At 43.0% G+C, this 23156-nt stretch overlaps 2 protein-coding genes across 10 annotated transcripts in view, besides 1 other annotated feature; both read left to right on the top strand.

Annotated features, from left to right (window-relative positions):
• Positions 1-14939, top strand: part of SLC25A16 (solute carrier family 25 member 16) — a 49526-nt gene extending 34587 nt beyond the window's left edge. For 3 of the 7 annotated variants that reach the window (NM_001324317.2, NM_152707.4, NM_001324314.2), the window contains 3 exons: positions 4308-4470; positions 5725-5793; positions 9349-14939. In NM_001324317.2, the coding sequence (NP_001311246.1) occupies positions 4308-4470; positions 5725-5793; positions 9349-9505 (389 nt within the window). In that variant the 3' untranslated portion in view covers positions 9506-14939. Of the gene's footprint in view, positions 1-4307; positions 4471-5724; positions 5864-9320 lie in introns of those variants that run through there. The other 4 variants (NR_136737.1, NM_001324315.1, NM_001324312.2 and 1 more) reach the window with 3 other exon arrangements.
• Positions 18398-18598: a silencer, noted in NCBI's record as "peak997 fragment used in MPRA reporter construct". NCBI's record gives its function as "represses an SCP1 promoter by STARR-seq MPRAs in K562 erythroleukemia cells {active_cell/tissue: K562}" and the evidence as "EXISTENCE:reporter gene assay evidence [ECO:0000049][PMID:32103011]".
• DNA2 (DNA replication helicase/nuclease 2) overlaps positions 20416-23156 on the top strand; it is a 58458-nt gene continuing 55717 nt past the window's right edge. Inside the window, exons 1-3 of one of the 3 annotated variants that reach the window (XM_006717680.3) lie at positions 20416-20883; positions 21052-21146; positions 22774-22956. In XM_006717680.3, coding sequence (XP_006717743.1) covers positions 20815-20883; positions 21052-21146; positions 22774-22956 — 347 coding nt within the window. In that variant the 5' untranslated portion in view covers positions 20416-20814. Of the gene's footprint in view, positions 20884-20963; positions 21147-22773; positions 22957-23156 lie in introns of those variants that run through there. The other 2 variants (NR_102264.2, NM_001080449.3) reach the window with 2 other exon arrangements.

The raw sequence follows: 23156 nt of genomic DNA, 5'->3' as shown, positions 1-23156 counted from the left end.
TCTTTTTCTTAATATCTGAGCCAGCTGTAGTCTTGTTAACACACACTTACGTTAGATGATGTTAAACATTTAGGTTTTATGAGCATGTTAATTAAAAATAGGAGTTGAAAAGTGGTTTTTGTCTCATTATAAATAATGAAGACATGGCAAATTTTGAAAATATAGAAAAGTAGAAAGAAGAAAAATAAGGATACCTATAGTTCTCTAATCTCCATTTATTACCTTGTTTACAGTCCTGTTTTTTTTTGTTTTTTGAGACGGAGTTTCGCTCTTGTTGCCCAAGCTGGAGTGCAATGGCGTGATCTCGGCTCACTGCAACCTCCACCTGCTGGGTTCAGGCGATTCTCCTGCCCATGGTCAGGCTGGTCTCAAACTCCCGACCTCAGGTGATCTACCCGCCTTGGCCTCCCAAAGTGCTGGGATTGCAGGCATTAGCCACCGTGCCCAGCAGTCCTGTTTTTTTTTTAAACTAAACTTTTTATTTTGAGGTAATTGTGGATTTACATACAGTTATGTTACAAGACAAAATTGCAGCCAGTTTAGTTTAAACATCTCAGTTGGCTTTATTTTGCAATTCTAGAATTGGGCAATACTTCATTTCATAAAAATAGAGTAAGTGTTGGAATGACTAGACCCGAAGGAGTTGATTTTATATAGAGGAAGGGTTGAAGAAAGCAGAAACAATGAACAATCAGGTTGCTCAGTTCAAAGTTACTATCCTTGTAAGTTGGGGACAGGAAGAATAAAATAGAAAAATCACTAGTTAACTTCAGGTTATATTAGGCTACCTTTTTTGTGTAAGTATTAAAGCAAAAGGAGCCGGGTGTGGTGGCTCAAGCCTGTAATCCCAGCACTTTTGGAGGCCAAGGCGGGTGGATCACCTGAGTTTGAGACTGGCCTGGCCAACATGATGAAACCCCATCTCTATTAAAAATACAAAAATTAGCTGGCTTGGTGGCGTGTGCCTGTAATCCCAGCTACTCAGGAGGTTGAGGCAGGAGAATCATTTGAACCCGGGAGGCGGAGGTTGTGGTGAGCCGAGATCACGCCACTGCACTCCAGCCTGGGCGAAAGAGTGAGACTCCATTTCTAAATCAATCAGTCAATCAATCAATCAATCAAGCAAGCAAGCAAGCAAACAGAGAGAAGTTTACTATCAAGCTTATTCAAGATTGAAACTGGCCTGTTAGAGAAAGTGGCTGTCACTTCTTTCTCCTAATTTCTCAGGAGGTCAGGTAACAACTAGTTTTAGTTTGGTAGTGTGGAACTTAAGCATGGTGACTCTGTTTTGATTTTTAGTCTGGTCTGTTAGGGCCTAGTGTAGGAGCTTCATGCAAAAGAATGGACACCCTCCTGGGTGACAGAGTGAGACCTTGTCTCTAAAAATCAAACAAACAAAAAAGCAACAACAAGGGCCGGTGCGGTGGCTCATGCCTGTAATCCCAGCACTTTGTGAGGCCAAGGCAGGTGGATCACCTGAGGTTAGGAGTTTGAGACCAGCCTGACCAACATGGAGAAACACCGTCTCTACTAAAAATACAAAATTAGCTGGGCGTGGTCGCACATGCCTGTAATCCCAGCTACTTGGGAGGCTGAGGCAGAGAATCACTTGAACCCAGGAGGCGGAGGTTGCAGTGAGCCAAGATTGCACCATCGCACTCCAGTCTGGGCCACAAGAGCAAAACTCTGTCTCAAAAAAGAAAAAAAAAAAGCAACAACAAAAAAACAGTGCACTAATAGCAAACTAAAATGTGGTGTGGCCAGGCATGGTGGCTCACACCTATAATCCCAGCACTTTGGGAGGCTGAGGCAGGAGGATTACTTGAGCCTAGGAATTTGAGACCAGCCTTGGCAGCATGGGGAGAATTTGTCTCTACAAATAATTTTCTAAAATTAGCCAGGCTTGGTGGTCCCAGCTACTTGAGAAGCTGAGTTAAGAGGATTGCCTGAGCCTAGGAGGTTGAGGCTTCAGCGAGCTGTGATCATGCCACTCTACTCCAGCCTGAATGACAGAGTAAGACCCTGTCCCAGTTTCAAAAAAAAAAAGTATATTTTTTAGCTGTTCTAGTGGTTAAGAAATTCAAATTTTAAGGTAGTCGAATGCATCAATCTATTCTTTTATGGATAGTCTTTATTGTGTCAAAAAAATTTTCTTCTGAGAATGATTTTTAACGTTTAGCATTTTATATATATGCCACTAATCTGTCTGGAAGTATTTGTTTTCTTTGTTAAGGAAGTTTTTTTTTTTCCCCTTCACTTTTGACTTGGCACCATTTTATAAATAGTCTCTTCCCTGGCCGGGTACAGTGGCTCACACCTGTAATCCCAGCAGTTTGGGAGGCCGAGGGGGAGTGGATCATGAGGTCAGGAGTTTGAGACCAACCTGACCAACATGATGAAACGCCATCTCTACTAAAAATACAAAAATTAGCCAGGCGTGGTGGCGCACGCCTGTAATCCCAGCTACTCAGGAGGCTGAGGCAAGAGAATCGCTTGAACCCAGGAGGCGGAGGCTGCAGTGAGCTAAGATCGCACCATTGCACTCCAGCCTGGGTGACAAGAGTAAAACTCTGTTTCAAAAAAAAAAAAAAAGTCTCTTCTTTTCCCAGTCATCTTAAAAAAATAATATTAGTGCAGAGTTTGTTTCTTTGACATAGAGTCTCGCTGTGTTGCCCAGGCTGGAGTGCAGTGGTGCAATCATAGCTGAGTGCAGTGGTGCAATTGTGGCTCACTGCAGCCTTGACCTCCCTCAGCTCAGGTTATCCTCCCATGTCAGCTGCCTGAGTAACTGGGACTGCAGACACGTAACACTGCATCTACCTCCTTTAAAACATTTTTTGTAGTGATGAGTTCTCACTATATTACCCAGGCTGGTCTCAAACTCCTGAGCTTGAGCAATCCTCCCACCTTAGCCTCCATAAGTGTTAGGATTACAAGTGTGAGCTGCCACATGGGCTACGGCAGTTTCATAATGAGTCTTTATATTTGGTAAGAGAAATCCCTTATGAATCTTTCTTCCTTTTTTTTTTTTTTTTTTGAGACAGAGTCTCGCTCTGTTGCCAGGCTAGAGTGCAGTGTTGCCATCTCAGATCACTGCATCCTCCGCCTCCCGGGTTCAAGCAATTCTCTTGCCTCAGCCTCCTGAGTAGCTGAGACTACAGGCGCGCACCACCACACCCAGCTAATATTTGTATTTTTTGTAGAGACAGGGTTTCACCATGTTGGCCAGGATGGTCTCAAACTCCTGACCTTGTGATCTGCCTGCCTCAGCCTCCCAAAGTGCTGGGATTACAGGCATAAGCCACCGCGCCTGGCCAATTCAATAAACATCACAATATCTTGAGTAATGCTTAGTTGGGAGGAACGCTTGAATTTCATATTTATTTACTTTTTTCCCTCCCTGAATTTCATTCTTAATTTTATTAATAAACAACCTTAATGGTTCTAGTATCATGTAATGTTTAACAAGCACTACCTGCATACTATTTTTATCAGATTCTACGTGTTTTGTGAATTAACATAAACGCTTCTCTCATGGTCACAATTCTTCCTTGAAGACAAACTTAGACACTTAGTTAAAATAAAAATGCTTTTTCACTTCTTAATTTTTGCCTGTATCTTACATTATCACCATCACTGTTTTTTTGTTTTGTTTTGTTTTGTGTTTGAGACAGAGTTTCGCTCTTGTTGCCCAGGCTGGAGTGCAATGGCGTGATCTCAGCTCACCGCAAACTCCGCCTCCTGGGTTCAAATGATTCTCCTGCCTCAGCCTCCCGAGTAGCTGGGATTACAGGCATGCGCCACCACACCCGACTAATTTTGTATTTTTAGTAGAGATGGGATTTCTCTATGTTTGTCAGGCTGATCTCGAACGCCTGACCTCAGGTAATCCGCCCACCTCAGCCTCCCAAATTGTTGGGATTACAGGTGTGAGCCACCACGCCCGGCCATCATTGTTATTTTAAATGTTAAGTTGTCACATTTCCTTGTAATTAATAATCATGAATTTAATTTTTCTCATGTGAAACCTTGGAAAACTTTGTTTTTTTTCCACATATAAAGTGGCATTATATTCACTATAGCCTCCTTCAGTGCAGTAAACTTCAGTGGTGCATGAAAACCAAAGCTATAATTTTTTATTGGTGGTAATTTTGTCATCTTTAGGTTATTTATGTACACAAATCTTTCTATTTTAAATTAAGCCAAACACCAGAAATTAGGAAATGTGTTTATTATTTAAGAATGGTGTCTTTTTCACAGCTCATGTTATGTTAAGCATCATGGTGAATTTATTTTTTGTTTTTCAGGTGTTTCATTTTTTACTTTTGGTACCTTGAAGAGTGTTGGGCTTTCCCATGCTCCTACCCTTCTTGGCAGACCTTCATCAGACAATCCTAATGTCTTAGTTTTGAAAACTCATGTAAACTTACTTTGTGGTGGTGTTGCTGGAGCAATAGCGCAGACAATATCGTAAGTTTCTTCACTAACTTAATTTAATCAAATTATAGTTACCCAGTCCTGATTTTCAGCATTGTTTAATCATTTATTTTTTCTAATAGATTATTCAAAAAGAGGATCCTTGCAAAATATAGGTCTCAATTTAATACATTTTTTCAGATGTGTGTGCACTTTAAGCATATTATAAATAATTACATGTTTGGATGCAGTAGTGCTGCCTATTGTCCCAGCTACTTGGGAGACTGTGGCAGGAGGATTGCTTGAGCCCAGGAGTTTGAGGCCAGTCTGGGAGACATAGTGAGACCTTGCCCCTAAGAAAAAAAGAAAGAGGGTGGGCGCGGTGACTCACGTCTGTAATCCCAGCAGTTTGGGAGGCTTAGGCGGGTGGATCACAAGGTCAAGAGATTGAGACCATCTGGCCAACATGGTGAAAACCCGTCTTTACTAAAAACACAAAAATTAGCCGGGTGTGGTGGCAGCCACCTGTAATCCCAGCTACTCGGGAGGTTGAGGCAGAGAATTGCTTGAACCTGGGAGGTGGAGGTTGCAGTGAGCCAAGATTGCGTCACTGCACTCCAGCCTGGGCGACAGAGTGAGACTCCATCTCAAAAAAAAAAGAGAGATTGCATTTGTATATTGTGTATTTAATTTCAGGCAGTTATCTGTATTATTAGTTTTAGCCCTTATGGAAAATTTTGTATTGGTCTACTGTATTCAAGGGGACTTGCTGCATAGCATTAGAGCAGTTCTCTACTGGGGTTGATTTTACCACCAGTGGACATTTGTTAATGTCTGGAGACATTTTTGGTTGTCACAGCTGGGAGAGTGCTACTGGCATCTAGTGGGAAGAGGTCAGGGATGTGCTTAAACATCTCTAGTGCACAGGACAGTTCCCCACAACAAAGGATGATCCAACCGAAAATGTCAGTAGTGCCAGTGTTGGAAACTGTATATTAGTGTTCAACAATGAAAAGCAACCAGTTTGTTTCTTCAGGAACTGGCATTTAATTTGACCTTTAGGAATGAACAGAACTTGATATTACGGTGATGGGAGAGAAGAATCCTCTAATCAGAGGGATCACATAAGCAAAGACTTCTGTATTGTTAATTGATTTTATTCATATGCCTATATCCCGACTCCTAGGTTAGACAGAACAATAAGAGCAGTAACACGTTATTTCTTTGAATTTATAGGGCTTTGTATTCAATAGTTGTTGAGTAGAAAACCAAAAATTTTTAATTCTTTATGCCTTTTTCTTCTTTTAGCTACCCATTTGATGTGACTCGTCGGCGAATGCAATTAGGAACTGTTCTGCCGGAATTTGAAAAGTGCCTGTAAGTTCATCATATGTCATTGTTCATTTTCTTTAGGAAATGTAACATTAAACTCAGTAAGGAGATAGGACTCTAGTTTGACCAATAGTCTGTATCTTCCGTTTTATCTCCCGAAGTTTATTTTGGTAACTTTATAAGATTACAATCAGGCAATCAGGTTCTTTTTTTTTTTTTTTTTTTTTTTTTTGAGATGCAGTCTTACTCTGTCACCCGGGCTGGAGTGCAGTGGCATGGTCTTGGCTAACTGTAACCTCCGCCTCCTGGGTTCAAGTGATTCTTTTGCCTCGGTCTTCCAAGCAGCTGGGATTACAGACACCCACCACCATGACTGGCTAATTTTTTGTATTTTTAGTAGAAATAAGGTTTCACCATGTTGGCCAGGCTAGTCTTGAACTCCTGACCTCAAGTGATCTGCCTGCCTGCCTGGTCTATAATCAGGTTCTAATCCTCCTGTTAAAAATTTAATTTAGGGCCAGGCACGATAGCTCGTGCCTGTAATCCTAGCACTTTGGGAATCCGAGGAGGGCGTATCACCTGAGGTCAGGAGTTTGAGACCAGCCTGGCCAACATGATGAAACCCCATCTGTACTAAAAATACAAAAATTAGCCAGATGTGGTGTCGGGCGCCTGTAATCCCATCTACTAGGGAGGTGGAGGTTGCAGTGAGCCAATTTGGCGACAGAGTGAGACTCCATCTCAATAAAAAAAACAAAAACAAACTAAAAAAAACAAAGAAAATATTAAATTTAGGCTAGTTGTGGTAGCTCATGCCTGTAATCCGAGCAATTTGGGGGGCCAAGGTGGGAGGATCACTTGAGCTCAGGAGTCCAAGACCAGCCCAGGCAACACAGTGAGACCTTGTCTCTATAAAAAAAAATATTATTTTAGAGGTTGTGTTTTTTTTTTTTTTTTGTTTTGTTTTTTTGAGACAAAGTCTCACTCTTGTCCCCCAGGCTGGAGTGCAATGGCATGAACTCAGCTCACTGCAACCTCCCCCTTCCGGGTTCAAGCGATTCTCCTGCCTCAGCCTCCCGAGTACCTGGGATTACAGGTACCTGCCACCACGCCTGGCTAATTTTTGTATTTTTAGGAGAGACGGGGTTTCACCACGTTGGCAAGGCTGGTCTGGTACTCCTGGCTAACATGGTGAAATCCCGTCTCTAGTAAAAATACAAAAAATTAGCCGGGTGTGGTGGCAGGCACCTGTAGTCCCAGCTACTCGGGAGGCTGAGGCAGGAGAATCGTGTGAACCCAGGAGGCGGAGCTTGCAGTGAGCCGAGATCGCACCACTGCACTCCAGCCTGGGCGATAGAGTGAGACTCCATCTCAAAAAAAAAAAAAAAAATATTGCTTAGGAGGCTGAGGCACGATAATTGCTTGAACCCAGGAGGCAAAGAGCTGAGATGGCGCCACTGTACTCCAGCCTAGGTGACAGAGTGAGACTCTGAAAAAAACAAAAAAGGCCTGTCGCAGTGGCTCACGCCTATAATCCCAGCACTTTGGGAGGCAGAGGTGGGTGGATCATGAGGTCAGGAGTTCAAGACCAACCTGGCCAAGATGGTGAAACCTGTCTCTACTAAAAATACAAAAAAAATTAGCTGGGCTGGTGGCAGGTGCCTGTCATACCAGCTACTCAGGAGGCTGAGGCAGGGAATTGCTTGAACCTGGGAGGCGGAGGTTGCAGTTAGCCAAGATCATGCCACTGCACTCCAGCCTGGGCGACAGAGCGAGACTCTGTCTAAAAAAGAAAAAGGGCTGGGACGCGGTGGCTCACACCTGTAATCCCAGCACTTTGGGAGGCTGACGCGGGAGGATCACAAGGTCAGGAGATCAAGACCATCCTGGTCAACATGGTGAAACCCCATCTCTACTAAAAATACAAAAAAATTAGCTGGGTGTGGCGGTGTGCGCCTGTAGTCCCAGATACTCTGGAAGCTGAGGCACAAGAATCACTTGAGCCCAGGAGACGGAGGTTGCAGTGAGCCGAGATCGTGCTACTGCACTCCAGCCTGGCAGCGAGGCTGCGTGTCAATAAAAAAGAAAAGAAAAAGAAGAAAAAATATATATATAATTGTTAAAAATATTTTTTGTTTAACCTAAACTTTTATCACCTCAACATTTCATTATTTTGTTTCTTTTTTTTAAATACAAACTATTTGAAATCCAGGGTGTATTTTACACTCACAGCACGTCTTGATTTGGACTGCCACATTTCAAGTGCTTAATAGCCATATGTGGCTAGTGGCTGCTGTGATTGTATAGCACAGCTCCAGAGTTTTCTTTATAGTAATTTAGAACCATTCCATTTGATTGGTGATATGTTGTCTCTCAGGGGAAGAGCAGAACATTTGTTCATGAATTTGGATTGCCGTGTTCACCCAAAAGATTTTTTGGGCTGGGAGCATTACCCTGTGCTTGTTGTATCCAGCTACTTGAGAGGCTGAGGTGGGAGGTTCACTTGAGGCCAGGAGTTTGAGATCAGCTTGGAAAACATTGTAAGACCTTGGCTCTAAAAAAATTTTTTTTAACTAAAAACAAACAAACAAAAAATTTAGTGAGGCATGGTGGTGTGTGCCTGTAGTCTCAGCTACTGAAGAGGCTGAGGTGGGAGGATTGCTTGTGCCCAGGAGTTGGAGGCTGTTGTGAGCTATGATTGCCACTGCACTCCAGCCTAGGCAACAGAGTGAGAACCTGTCTCTTAAAAAAAAAAAAAAAAAAAGATTTTTGAAAAGATTTCGGTCCAGATTGCCTATTGAAAGGGAAAGCCCAAGCCCAAATTATTGGTTTGAAAGGAAAGGAACAACTCTGAAACAGGAAAGTGTTCATTGCTGAAATCTGAAAGATAGTCCTTCAAGCTTTAGTTCTATAACCACCTGCTGTTGATACTATACAACTTGAGCTATAATAAAGGCTTAAAGGGCAACTGGATATACATCCTTTAAAAGGATTGCATTAGTATTTCAAATATAAGTATGAAATAGTTGTTGTCCAGTAAATGTCATAGACATAGTACAAACAAAATATGTTGTACTAATGAGTCCTGAAATTTGATGCATAATGCTTGTACTTGTTTAGAATGACTTGCCTTTTTATTATGAAAAAATTTTCACTTGTTAAAACATTTGTCTTTCTAAAGCTATTCAAGATGGCATTTAACCTTCTTTAAAAATTAATATTATGGGCCGAGCGAGGTGGCTTATGTCTGTAATCCCAGCACTTTGGGAGGCCAAGGTGGGTGGATCACCTGAGGTCAGGAGTTTGAGACTGGCCTGGGCAACATGGAGAAACCCCGTCTCTACTAAAAATTACAAAAATTAGCTGGGCATGGTGGCGCGTGCCTGTAATCCCAGCTACTCAGGAGACTGAAGCAGGAGAATCACTTGAACCTGGGAGGCAGAGGCTGCAGTGAGCCAAGATCATGCCACTGCAATCCACACTCCCATCTGGGTGACAGAGCAAGAGTCCATCTCAAAAAAACAAAATTGATATTATGGATCCTGAAATTGTTTCTTCATGAGTGGGCATAGAGGTCATCATTTAATCATTGTCTTTCAGTACCATGCGGGATACTATGAAGTATGTCTATGGACACCATGGAATTCGAAAAGGACTCTATCGTGGTTTATCTCTTAATTACATTCGCTGTATTCCCTCTCAAGCAGTGGCTTTTACAACATACGAACTTATGAAGCAGTTTTTTCACCTCAACTAAAAAAAAATTATGGTTGGTTTTTCTTAATACATTCTCAGAGGGAGAAATGAAACATTACTATAATTGTGGGGGGAACATTACTTGAATGGGGATATTTACCCTGTCACAAGAGCCACTGGTATTTTAGTACTTGATTATTTTTTCTTTAGTCACAAATCAGAACTGCTTACCATACTTTTTGATGCCAAACATTATACCTTAGAACATTGAAGAAAATATTCCTAAGCTGATGCTGGCTAAACCGCTTTAAAGTTTTATTTGGAAGTAGAACTAGCTTTAAAACGGGGTTCAAGAGGTTGCCATTAGCTTTGTCATGCTGTTCAAAGTTTTTAATTGTTATCATGGTTTTTAAAAGACTGACAGTGTTTATTATTATTAAAATAAACAGGGTTGGTTATATTGCAATAGAATAATGAGAATTGAATTTTTAAGTTCTATGAAACAGCCAGCATTGACATTTTATTTTTGTTATCTCTCTTCTCACAATTATGCTCCACTGGATAATAGGAAAAACACTTCTTTCCTTCATTTTTTAAATAAAATTAATGTTGTATTTAAAAGGTAGCCATGTAGAGACACAAAAATAAATGAAGAAGCTGGACATGGTGGGATGGGCATGTGGTCCCAGCTACTCTGGAAGCTGAGGTGAGAGGATCACTTGAGCCCTGGAATTCCATGCCAGCCTATGCAACATCATGAAACCCCACTTAATAAATGAATGAACGACTAAGTCTTGCTCAAATGTTATTATGAGGTACTATGAGTGACTTACATGTGTTTTAAAATGTCAGTGTGTTTCCCAGAGGCAGAAATAAAAATACTGAATATCTTTGCTCTTAAAAAAAAAGTAACACTATAGATTTGTTTTTGTTAGATGATTTGCTCTATAGTAGAATATTTAAGTAGACTGTGAAATATTTATTAATATAGATGTGAATATCAAAAAATGTTTCTAAGGTATTATGATGCATCAACTAGTTCTTCCATGTAAAATAATTTTAGTGCAATATGAAGACGTAGAAATGTAAAATATGATTTGAATTGTTATCCTTTATATTAAGAAAATGTTTTAAAATGTAAGAATTCCATTTATTCTGTTTAGAGTACTTTTTATGATTTATTATAAGCGTGTCATAAATGGGAAGGGAATATTTAAAGTTCTGTGTTCAGAAAGAGTAATTTGTAGAACTGATGTGACTTTTTTTTTTTTTTTGAGATGGAGTCTCGCTCTATCGCCCAGGCTGGAGTGCAGTGGCGCGATCTCAGCTCACTGCAACCTCTGCCTCCCGGGTTCAAGTGATTCTCCTGCCTCAGTCTCCCGAGTAGCTGGGACTACAGGTGCCCACCACCAAAAATTCGCCTGGCTAATTTTTGTATTTTTAGTAGAGACGGGATTTCACCGTGTTAGCCAGGATGGCCTCGATCTCCTGAACCTCATGATCTGCCCACCTTGGTCTCCCAAAGTGCTGAGATTACTGGCGTGAGCCACGGCGCCCGGCCCTTTGATGTGACTTTAAAGACATTAGAAGGCCAGGTGTGGTGGCTCACGCCTTTATTCCCAGCACTTTGGGAGGCCGAGTTGGGTGGATCACCTGAAGTCAGGAGTTTAAGATCAGCATGGTGAAACCCCACCTCTACTAAAAATACAAAAAGTAGCAGGTGTGGTGGCTCGTGCCTGTAGTCCCAGTTACTCGCGAGGCTGAGACATGAGAATTGCTTGAGCTCGGGAAGCGGAGGTTGCAGTGAGCTGAGATCACACCACTGCACTCCAGCCTGGGTGACAGAATGAGCCTCCATCTCAAAAAAAAGGAGACATTAGAAAACTAAGTTGAGTCCAGGCGTGGTGGCTCTTGCCTGTAACCCTAGCACTTTGGGAGGCTGAGGCGGGAGGATATCTTGACCCCAGGAGTTCGAGACCAGCCTGGGCAACATAGTGAGACCCCGTTTCTTTCAAACAAAAGAAGGAAAACTAAGTTGAAAGTGTTATTTTTGCTTCAATTTTTATTTCTTTACATAAAAGGTTTCTTGTCATACCTTGGTAAAAATTTGATGAGCTGGTTTCATTTTGAAAGCCTTTATTTTAAAAATAAGTATGTATCTTTGTATGATTTATAAGTGTACCAGTAGGTAGAAATACATGTGTTCTTGGCCAGATGTGGTGGCTCACGCCTGTAATCCCAGCATTTTGGGAGGCTAAGGCGAGTGGATCACCTGAGGTCAGGAGTTCAAGACCAGACTGGCCAACGTGGAGAAACCCTGTCTCTACTAAAAATACAAAAATCAGCCGGGCATGGTGGCGGGCGCCTGTAATCCCAGCTACTTGGGAGGCTAAGGCAGGGAGAATTGCTTGAACCCAGGAGGCACAGGTTGCAGTGAGCCAAGATTGCGCCATTGCACTCCAGCCTGGGTGGCTGTATAAAAGCCTGTATAAAAATTTCTTTTATACAGAGTGAGACTGTATAAAAGAAAAAAAAAGGCTGTACAAAAATTTCTTTTATACAGAGACTGTATAAAAGAAAAAAAAAAGAAATACATGTGTTCTTAAAACCATTTGTATATTTTCATTTCTAGACCACACTGTAGCTAATTATTGTTATTAAATGTTAAGATAATTTAAGTATATAAAATAAGTATTGAGCCGGGCATGGTGGCTCACCCCTGTAATCTCAGCACTTTGGGAGGCTGAGGCGGGGGGATCACGAGGTCAGGAAATCGAGACCATTGTGGCTAACACGGTGAAAACCTATCTCTACTAAAAATACAAAAAATTAGCTGGGCGTGGTGGCACGCACCTGTAGTCCCAGTTACTCAGGAGGCTGAGACAGGAGAATCACTTGAACCTGGGAGGCGGAGCTTGCAGTGAGCCGAGATCGTGCCACTGCATTCTAACCTGGGCGACAGAGCAAGACTCCATCTCAAAAAAAAAAAAAAAAAAAAAAAAGATACCTCAGTTAGGTTATCAGTAAAAGGGGATTGCAAATATCTTTTAAATAAAAATTTGCATTCTATATGTTATAGAATACAGAGGATATTAAAAATAAATTTTATCCATGTTTTGACAATTTCTTTCTTTCAACTGTTTACATATTGAAGCACAAATGCTAAACATAAGTCAGAATGGAAGAATATTTAAAATAATGACTGTGTTTATATCTGATTTATTTCAGATTGCCCAAAGTGCATCTTGCCAGGTTATCTTCCATTTGAAGACTGACATTTTATTTCTTTTTTGATCTTTATTGTTCCTCTCTTCCACCTCTCAGTGGGTATAGCTCTCTGGTCTGTAGAATGGGACAGTGGTCTGGTTTCCAGATTGATAAGTGAGGTATACCTCCTAGTTTTCAGTAATTACCTGTAGAAGGTGGAGAAGTTACTGGATATGTTTAATAATATCTCATTACATTCTTTTTTTTTTTTTTTTAACGAGAGTCTTAACTCTGTCACCCAAGCTGGAGTGCAGTGGTGCAATCTCGGCTCACTGCAATCTCCACCTCCGGGTTCAAGCGATTTTCCCGAGTCATCTTTCCAAGTAACTGGGATTACAGCTATGTGCTACCATGCCCAGCTGAGTTTTGTATTTTTCTTTCTTTTCTTTCTTTTTTTTTTTTTTTTTTGAGACAGAGCCTCACTCTGTTGCCCAGGCTGGAGTGCCCAGGCTGGAGTGCAGTGGTGTGATCTCAGCTCACTGCAACCTCCACCTCCTGGGTTCTAGCGATTCTCCTGCTTCAGCCTCCCGAGTAGCTGGGGTTACAAGCACCCGCCACCACGCCCAGCTAATTTTTGTGTATTTAGTAGAGCTGGGTTTTGCCCTGTTGGCCAGGCTGGTCTTGAATACCTGACCTCAAGTGATCTGCCCCCCCGACTTCCCAAAATGCTGGGACTACTGGCATGAGCCAGTGCTCCTGTCCTCATTCCATTCTTCACCGTGGTACTGACCATCCATTTATTCAGCACCAATTGTGTGCCAGACCTTGTGTCAGCATTATGGAGGACTTCCCTTGGGAGGCTTGTTAGCTGTACTTGCAATCTGATTTGGGTTCCCAAATCAGCATATAACACCAGGTATTTCTCTAATAGAGTATGTGCCACACTTTCTGCTAACTGCCTGTTTATCAGTGTCCCCACATCCCAATATCTGGTTCCTTCAAGGGCAGGGAGCACAGGGTATGGCGTCAGAGTGGTACTCAGTGATGTTTACTGGTGGGTAGAAGGAAGGGTTAGTCCCTGTTTTTGAAGACTTTATGTTCTAGCAGGCAGAAATGAAGCACAAATAGTTCAAGAAATAAACAATTTAGGAATAAAGTCATTTGGTTTGCTTCGCAGAAATGTCTTATTGCTGATTTGCCAGCATGAGTGGCAAATATATAATAAAACCTGGCCGGGCATGGTGGCTCACGCCTGTAATCCCAGCACTTTGGGAGGCCAAGGTGGGCGGATCACGTGGTCAGGAGATCAAGACCATCCTGGCCAACATGGTGAAATCCCATCTCTACTAAAAATATAAAAATTAGCCAGGCATGGTGGTGGGCGCCTGTAGTCCCAGCTACTTGGGAGGCTGAGGTAGGAGAATTGCTTGAACCCAGAAGGCGGAGGTTGCAGTGAGCCAAGATTGCCCCACTGCACTCCAGCCTGGGTGACAGAGTGAGACTCTGTCCCAAAAAATAAAAATAAAAATAAATGAATATATAAAATAAAAAATATATGTATACATATCATATATATATATAAAATAAAACTTATAAATAGTTTTTATGGCTGGGTGAAGTGACTCATGTCTGTAATTCTAGCCCTTTGGGAGGCTGAGCGAGGAGGATCACTTGAGCCTAGGCATTCGAGCCCAGCCTGGGCAACATTGCAAGACTCTGTCTCATTTTTTTATATAAAATGTTTTTTTAAAAAACCCTATGTATAATTATTTATTTTTTTTCCCCAAGGATTATTCCCAAACTATGTACAATTAATGGGTTGCCTTGCAGAGTTGGATCAATAATACCTGACACACTTGTATAGCAAGCATACACTTTACATAGTTCCTCGCATCTATTCTTTGAAACCCAGACACATTCTAGTATTGGGCACTAGAAACTGGTGATAAATAATAACAATTACATATATTTCCTGAAGAATTATGTGGCATTCCTTGTTTTAAGCACCTTTGATGCCTTAGCTCAATCTCCATTACAATACTATGATATAAGTACCATTTAATATTTCTTTTTGACAGATGGGAATAATCGAGGCCTAGGGAGATTAAATTACTTGGCCAGGTTCATGTAAGTGGCAGATCTAGGATTCAAATTCAGCCGGTCTGAATCTAGAGCCTATTCTTTTAGCTATGATGCTATACTTTAATACAGTAATACACTGTTCAAATGAAACTGTAACATGTCATTAAATTTGAACTTGTCAATAAACATACCAAGCAATAAAATAATTACAGCTTGTGGAAAGTGCTTATGAAAACAGTAAATAAGCTACTTGAGAATGGTCAAGGAAAGGTTTCTTTGATGTGCTATATGTACATTCAACAGACACATGGAGGATGAAAAGGAAACAGCCATGCAAAGAGTTCAGGGGAAAGACTGGCCCAGGTGAAGAGAACGCCAAGCACAAAAACCCTGAAACAGGAAAAAGTTTGGTTTGACAATGGAATTGCCGAAAGGCTGGTGTGACTGAAGTATTGTGCGTGAAGGAGTAGCAACAGATGGAGTCAAAGAAATAGACAAAGGCGGTGGGGCATGGTGGCTCATGCCTATAATCCCAGCACTTTGGGAGGCTGAGGTGGGCGAATCTCGAGGTCAAGAGATCAAGACCAGGCCAGGCACGGTGGCTCACTACTGTATTCCCAGCACTTTGGGAGGCTGAGGTGGGCGGATCACAAGGTCAGGAGTTCAAGACCAGCCTGGCCAACATAGTGTTAACTCTGTCTCTACTAAAAATACAAAAATTAGCCGGGTGTGGTGGCATGTGCCTGTAGTCCCAGCTACTCGGGAGGCTGAGGTGGTAGAATAGCTTGAATCTGGGAGGCAGAGGTGGCAGTGAACTGAGACCACGCCATTGCACTTCAGCCTGGGTGACAGACTGAGACTCCATCTCAAAAAAAAAAAAAAAAAAAAAAAAAAAAAGATCAAGACCATCCTGGCTAACATGGTGAAACCCCATCTCTACTAAAAATACAAAACTTAGCCGCGCGTGGTGGTGTGCACCTGTAGTCCCAGCTACTCGGGAGGCTGAGGCAGATGAATCACTTGAACCCAGGAGGTGGAGATTGCAGTGAGCTGAGATCGCGCCACTGCACTCCAGCCTGGTGACAGAGTAAGACTCCATCTCAAAAAAAAAAAAAAGAAATAAATAGACAAAGGCCAGATCATGTAGCCGTTTACAGGATATGGTAATGATTTTGTTTTTTATTCTAAATGCAATGGGAAGGCCGGGTGCAGTGGCTCACACCTGTAATCCCAGCCCTTTGGGAAGCCGAGGCTGGCGAATCACCTGAGGTCAGGAGTTTGATACCAGCCTGGCCAAGATGGTGAAATGCTGTCTCTACTAAAAATACAAAAAATAGCTGGGCGTGGTGGTGCACGTCTATAATCCCAGCGACTTGGGAGGCTGAGGGAGGAGAATTGCTTGAACCCAGGAGGTGGAGGTTGCAATGAGCTGTGATCACGCCACTGCACTCCAGACTGGGTAACAGAGTGAGACTCCATATCAAAAAAAAAAAAAAAAAGAATGCAACGGGAAACTATTGAAGATTTTCAGCTGGTGTCGTTGTCTGATTATGTTTTTACAAAGATCACTGCTTTGTCAGTGATGGTTTGCAGTTAAAACAGAAATAAAAGGCTGGGATCACACCTGTAATCCCAGCACTTTGGGAGGCCGAGGTGGTTGGATCACCTGAGGTCAGGAGTTCAAGACCAGCCTGACCAACATGGAGAAACCCTCTCTCTACTGAAAATAGAAAAATTAGCCAGTTGTGATGATGCAACCCTGTAATCCCCGCTACTCGGTAGGCTGAGGCAGGAGAATTCCTTGAATCTGGGAGGTGAATGTTGTGGTGAGCCGAGATCGCGCCATTGCACTCCAGCCTGGGCAATAAGAGCGAAACTCGGTCTGAAAAACAAACAAAAACAGAAATAAAAATTAAAAAGACAATAGAGAAAATAAACCCCAAATCTCAAGAATGAGAAAGAGGACATCATTGTGGATCCTACAGATGTTTAAAAGATATTAAGGGCCAGGCGTGTGTGGTGGCTTATACCTGTAATCCCAGAATTTTGGGAGGCCAAGGTGGGTGGGCAGCTTGAGCTCAGGAGTTGGAGTACAGCCTGGCCAATATGGCTAAACGCCATCTCTACAAAAAATACAAAAATTAGCTGGGTGTGTTCGCGCACGCCTGTGGTCCCAACTACCTGGGAGGCTGAGGTGGGAGGATGGCTTGATCCTGGGAGGGGAAAGTTGCAGTGAGCTGAGATTAGGCTGCACTCCAGCCTAGATAATAGAGCCAGAACCTGTCTCAAAAAAACAAACACAAAAAAAACAACAAAAAAAAGAAATTTGACAATTTATATGAAATGGAAAAATACCTTGAAAAATTCAACCAAGACTGACATAGATGAAACAGAAAATCTGTGTAGCCAATTAAAGAAAGTGAGGCCAGGCGTAGTGGTTCATGCCTGTAATCCCAGCACTTTGGGAGGCCAAAATGGGAGGATCACTTGAGCCCAGGATTTTGAGACCAGCCCAAACAACATAGTGAGACCCTGTGTCTGCTTTTAAAAATATACCTGGACATAGTGATGTGCACCTATAGTCTCAGCTACTTGGGAGGCTGAGGTAGGAGGATCAACTGAGTCTAGGGAGGTCAAGGCTACAGTGAGTTGTTATTGCAGTACTGCATTCCAGTCTGGGTGACAGAGTGAGACCCTGTCTCAAAAAATTAAGAAATTGAGGGCCGGGCGTGGTGGCTCACGCCTGCAATCCCAACACTTTGGGAGGCTGAGGCGGGTGGATCACCTGAGGTTGGGAGTTCGAGACTACCCTGACCAACATGGAGAAACCTCGTCTCTACTAAAAATACAAAATTAGCTGGGCGTGGTGGCACATGCCTGTAATCCCAGCTACTTGAAAGGCTGAGGCAGGAGAATTGCTTGAACCTAGGAGGTGGAGGTTGTGGTGAGCCAAGATCATGCCACTGCACTCCAGCCTGGGTGACAGAGACTCTGTCTCAAAAACAAACAAAAAAACCCTTAGATGGTAACAGTAACATCATAGATGACCCAGATATCCTTTGAAAAAAAACAAAAAAAACACAAGTACTTTCATTTAAAAAGATACGGCAGTGGCCAAGCACGGTGGCTCATGCCTGTAATCCCAGCACTTTGGGAGGTCGAGGCGGGCGGATCACAAGGTCAGGAGATCGAGACCATCCTGGCTAACACGGTGAAACCCCATCTCTACTAAAAATACAAAAGATTACCCGGGTGTGGTGGTGGGTGCCTGTAGTCCCAGCTACTTGGGAGGCTGAAGCAGGAGAATGGTGTGAACCCGGGAGGTGGAGTGTGCAGTGAGCCGAGATCACGCCACTGCACTCCAGCCTGGGTGACAGAGCGAGACTCCGTCTCAAAAAAAAAAAAAAAAAACCTTTCCACAAAGAAAACCCCAGGGCTAGGTAGTGAAGTGTACTAAATAGCTAAGGAATAATCTCAGAAACTTCTAGAAATTAGAAGAGAGCACTTCCCAACTCATTTTATGATGCCAGTATAACCCTGATACCCAAACCCCACAATGCTGTTATAAAACAGAAAATTACAAATCAGTATCCTTCAAGAACTTAGATGGGCTGGGTTTGGTGGTTCACACCCATAATCCCAGCACTTTGGGAGGCTGAGTTGAGAGGATTGCTTGAGCTTAGGAGTTCAAGACCAGCTTGGGCAACACAGCAAGAGCTTGTGTCTACTAAAAATAAAAAAATAAATTAGCTGGGTGTGATGGCACACTCCTGTAGTCTCAGCTACTTGAGAGGCTGATAGGGGAGAATCACTTGAGCCTGGCAGATCGAGGCTGCAGTGAGCTGTCATTGTGCCACAGCACTACAGCCTGGGTGACAGAGCAAGTTCCTGTCTCAAGAAACAAAACAACCAAAAAACCAACAGATGGAAAAATTCTTAACAACAGAGCAAATCAAATCCAGTAATACATAAAACGTTTATTATGTCATGACCAATTTGGGTTTATCCTAGGAATGCAAAGTTTTTTTTAACATTGTGAAATCAATGGTAAAGCTTCTCATAATAACAGAATAAAGGAGAAAAACCATACAGTCCTTCTATAGATGCAATAACTGCTTGACAAAATCCAGCATTTATTCGTTATCAAAATGAATCATATTTAGAACAAAGGGGTCTTCCTCAATCTAATAAAGGACATTTTGGCAGAGTATACCTTTATACTTTCCAACAATGACCAGAACACATCCCAATTCATATGGTTTTATTTTTTTTTTTAGATGGATTCTCGCTGTTGCCCAGGCTGGAGTGCGGTGGCACAATCTTGCTCACTGTAACCCCTGCCTCCCAGGTCCAAGCGATTCTCCTGTCTCAGCCTCCCAAGTAGCTGAGATCACAGGCATGCGCCACCATGTCTGGCTAATTTTTGTATTTTTAGTAGAGATGGGGTTTTGCCATGTTGGCCAGGCTGGTCTCAAACTCCTAACCTCAGATGATCCTTCCGCCTCAGCCTCCCAAAGTGATGAGATTACAGGCGTGAGCCACCAGGCCCCATATGCTTTTCTTATGTGTCGTTGACACTCATCCCATCAAGAGGTAGGAACTGTGTTCCCCTTCCCTTGAATCTGGCTGAGTGGGCCTGTGACTACCGTGATGTTATATCACTTGCAAAGGTAGGTCATAAAGCTGTTGATATCAGGGACAAATACTAATAGAATAACTCCCATTCCAGTGTGTACATATTTGAAAGCCCATGTACATGATAAATATATTAACTTTTTGCCAATTTTTTTTTTCTTTTAGACTGAGTCACTCTTTCACCTAGGCTGGAGTACAGTGGTGTGATCTCAGCTCACTGCAACCTCTGCCTTCCAGGCTCAAGTGATTCTCCTGCCTCGGTCTTCTGAGTAGCTGAGATTACAGGAGTGCACCACCACACCCGGCTAATTTTTATATTTTTAGTAGAGACTGGGTTTCACCATGTTGGCCAGGCTGGTCTTGACCTCCTGACCTCAAGTGATTCACCCGCCTCGGCCTCCCAAGGTGTTGGGATTACAGGCCTGAGCCACCGGGCACCCGGCGCATTTTATCTATTTAAAAAATGAATAACAAAAATCAGGATAACAGTTATACCACTGATATTTAACATGGCTCTGGATGTTCTTGTCAGTGCCTCCAGATGAGAGAAGTATATAAATATCAAAAATCGGTGCACACCACTGTGCCCAGCAAGGAAACATCTTTTAAAAATGGGAGACACCAGGCCATATTAGAGGCTCAATCCAATAGTGAGGGCGAGGCTGATGATACAAGAGAATAATTGAAGAAGCGATGCCCTTGAGAATGCTTGAAGCCCTGGGATGCCAAGTGCAAGTGGAGCGATTGCCCTTTAACCAGAAGAACACTTTGTCTGCTATTGAAAAAAGGTGGAAAGAGGTTATGAAGAATGGTGCAGATATTAGAAGTTTTGTAGAATTTTTTTTTTTGGAGACGGAGTCTCGCTCTACCCAGGCTGGAGTGCCGTTGCAGGATCTGCAATCTCCACCTCCCGTGTTCAATTTATTCTACCTCAGCCTCCTCCCGAGTAGCTGGGATTACAGACGCATGCCACCACGCCCGGCTAATTTTTGTATTTTTAGTAGAGATGGCGTTTCACCATGTTGGCCAGGCTGGTCTCAACTGCTGACCTCGTGATCCTCCCGCCTCAGCCTTCCGAAGTGCTGGGATTACAGGCGTGAGCCTCCATGCCTGGCCAGAAGTTTTGTAGATTTAGCCGTGGCATGATCAAGGAGTTCCTATCCGACAGTTTCTATTTTCTCAATAAGTTTTCTGAAAAAAAGGGGAGAGGCTGTTTCCCAGGGAGTGCACAATTCTGAAGGCTAACCAGGGGCGCCTGGTTTTGGGCAACTACAAATGTGGTTGTGTTCAAACTAAGCGTGTAAAGGTTGTGTTCAAACTAAGCTGGGCGCCTGTAGTCCCAGCTACTTGGGAGGCTGAAGCAGGAGAATGGTGTGAACCCGGGAGGTTTCGGACACGGGTTGGAGTGTCAAGAGAGAAGGCAGGAGCGTTTAGTCTGCTTCAGATATGAAGACTCCCTGTATTCCCAGTCCTAAGCAAGGGAGCAAAGGCAGGGGACAGAGCCCTGCTGCTCAGGTGAGGGGCCCCACGTGGAACGCGCCGGCGCGGGAGGGGCGGCCTGGCGCAGGTCATTTGGGACATCTGCGGGTTGGCGCATGCGCGCGAGGTGCGCAGGCTCGCGCCTTTTTCCCTTTTCTAAGCTTTCTGTGTTACCCCCGGTTCCGCTGTCTTTTCTGTCTACAGTTTGCGATCCCCGCGTCCAGGATGGAGCAGCTGAACGAACTGGAGCTGCTGATGGAGAAGAGTTTTTGGGAGGAGGCGGAGCTGCCGGCGGAGCTGTGAGCGGAGAGGGGGGAGGGTGTGGGAACAAAGCGGGAGATTTGAAAGAAGGAGCGGGAGAGGCTGCGTCCGCACCGCCTCAGACTGACCGGGCCCGGGGCCCAGGGACCCGGTGCAGCTCCCTGGGCACCCGACGAGCCTCCGGAGTCGGGGCCTGCCTCCCAAGGTGTTCTTTGGGGCCACATTCAGCCAGAGCCTGGACTCTCCCTCGCCGAGCAGTTCATTGTTTCCCTTGATTTCACCTCTCTCCCTAAGTTGAGGAGTTTCGGCCACTGGAATGTTTTTATAATAGGAAATTGCAACCGCCGTAGGCTTTTCTCGATGTTTAGTTGGATTAACTTATCCTTGGGGGATCTCTGCACCCTCAGCATGGTGTATATAAATGATCAGAGGAAGTTAACCACGGTCATAATGTGGAATTACTTTCAATATTATAGCAATAATGCTAATTAGCGTTGAGGGACTTTTGCGTTTGGGCTTTTGATCAGCAATACCTTTTGAGAAACATCTTTAAGGCATCATAGCCAATCTTGCGAAATTCATGGCCTGAGGTTAGGTGGACTACAGGAATAAAGCGTTTGCAAAATAATAGAACCTACGGTCAGGTAACAAAAGATAACTTGCAGTGTAATGTGAAAGGCGTTTGGTGTTATCACTGGAGAGGTAATGACTTTGGACCCTCCTTTGGTCCCTCACTGATGCCTCAGTCAAACGGGGAAGACTTAAGAGGTACTTAATAGGAGAAGGGCTGTTTTCTTGAGAGATTATTATTTTGCATAATTTTAGACAGCTTGGACCGATGGATGAAAGTATTGACAAATTGACTTACCCACTATAAATATAAGTAATAAAGTTCTGAATTACTCTGTAAAGGATTGAGCTAAATCGATAGGTATTAAGCCTGCTTTCTGTCCAGTGAGATTTTATCGAAAGATTTCCGGCATTACTTTAGCAGGTTGGACTAAATTATTTCTAAGTACAATTCTGTGGCTCATGATAGGACTTTCAGTGAACCACGGACAATACCCTTTTCCGTAACATAAGTCTCATATTTACAAAAAGGATCGTGTCCAAAACATCTCCTTTTACTTGTACTTTGGGAAGGCTTGCACCAGTGGTAGAAATTTCTTGTTTAATGTTGTCCAATTTATACTTTCCTTTCTTTTTTCTCCGCCAGAACCGGGGTCTTTTTCTGTCGCTCAGGAAGGGGTGCAGTAGCATGATCGTATCTCACTGCAGCCTCAAACTCCTGGGCTCAAGCAGTCCTTCCACCTCAGCCTCTTGAGTAGCTGGGACTACAGGTGTGCGCCATCATGCCTGGCTTCCAGTTTATTCTTAATCCTCATTGTAATGAGTGTCCCACAGAACGCTTTACAGAAATTAAAATGGAAAATCTCATATCATGAGCATGTTTGAAATGGCATTACTTCTGGGAAGTTTTTATAATAGGAATTCTTCTGTGTCTTTGCTCTCTTAATTTTACCTATTTTGTCTAAATGTCATTGCAATAAGCTTTTCAGAAGAAAGAAACCTAGAAAACTGGAAGATTGGTTTGTAGATAAAACATATTGGATGGCTTCTTATTTCATGGTTGTGCTAAAATAGTTTTGTATGTGTGTGCTTTAGATTTCAGAAGAAAGTGGTAGCTTCCTTTCCAAGAACAGTTCTGAGCACAGGAATGGATAACCGGTACCTGGTGTTGGCAGTCAATACTGTACAGAACAAAGAGGGAAACTGTGAAAAGCGCCTGGTCATCACTGCTTCACAGTCACTAGAAAATAAAGAACTATGCATCCTTAGGAATGACTGGTAATTTTTATGTGACTTTGAGCACCGATTTGAATCTTAAGGGTACTGTCGTAAAACTCATCAAATGGCTTCTGTGAATGTTACTATAATTTAATTGTTTAAAAGGGAGTAGGTTTGATCTTAGCCTAATTCTGCATGAAAATTGTATCTATTACTCCTGTATCTCAAGTCTCATATTCCAAAAATTGACTTTTGTTGTC

This window comes from Homo sapiens, chromosome 10, assembly GCF_000001405.40.
Source record: "Homo sapiens chromosome 10, GRCh38.p14 Primary Assembly".
Taxonomy (NCBI): domain Eukaryota; kingdom Metazoa; phylum Chordata; class Mammalia; order Primates; family Hominidae; genus Homo; species Homo sapiens.
Note: the sequence above shows the minus strand (reverse complement) of the source record. Positions and strands in the feature narration are given on the sequence as shown.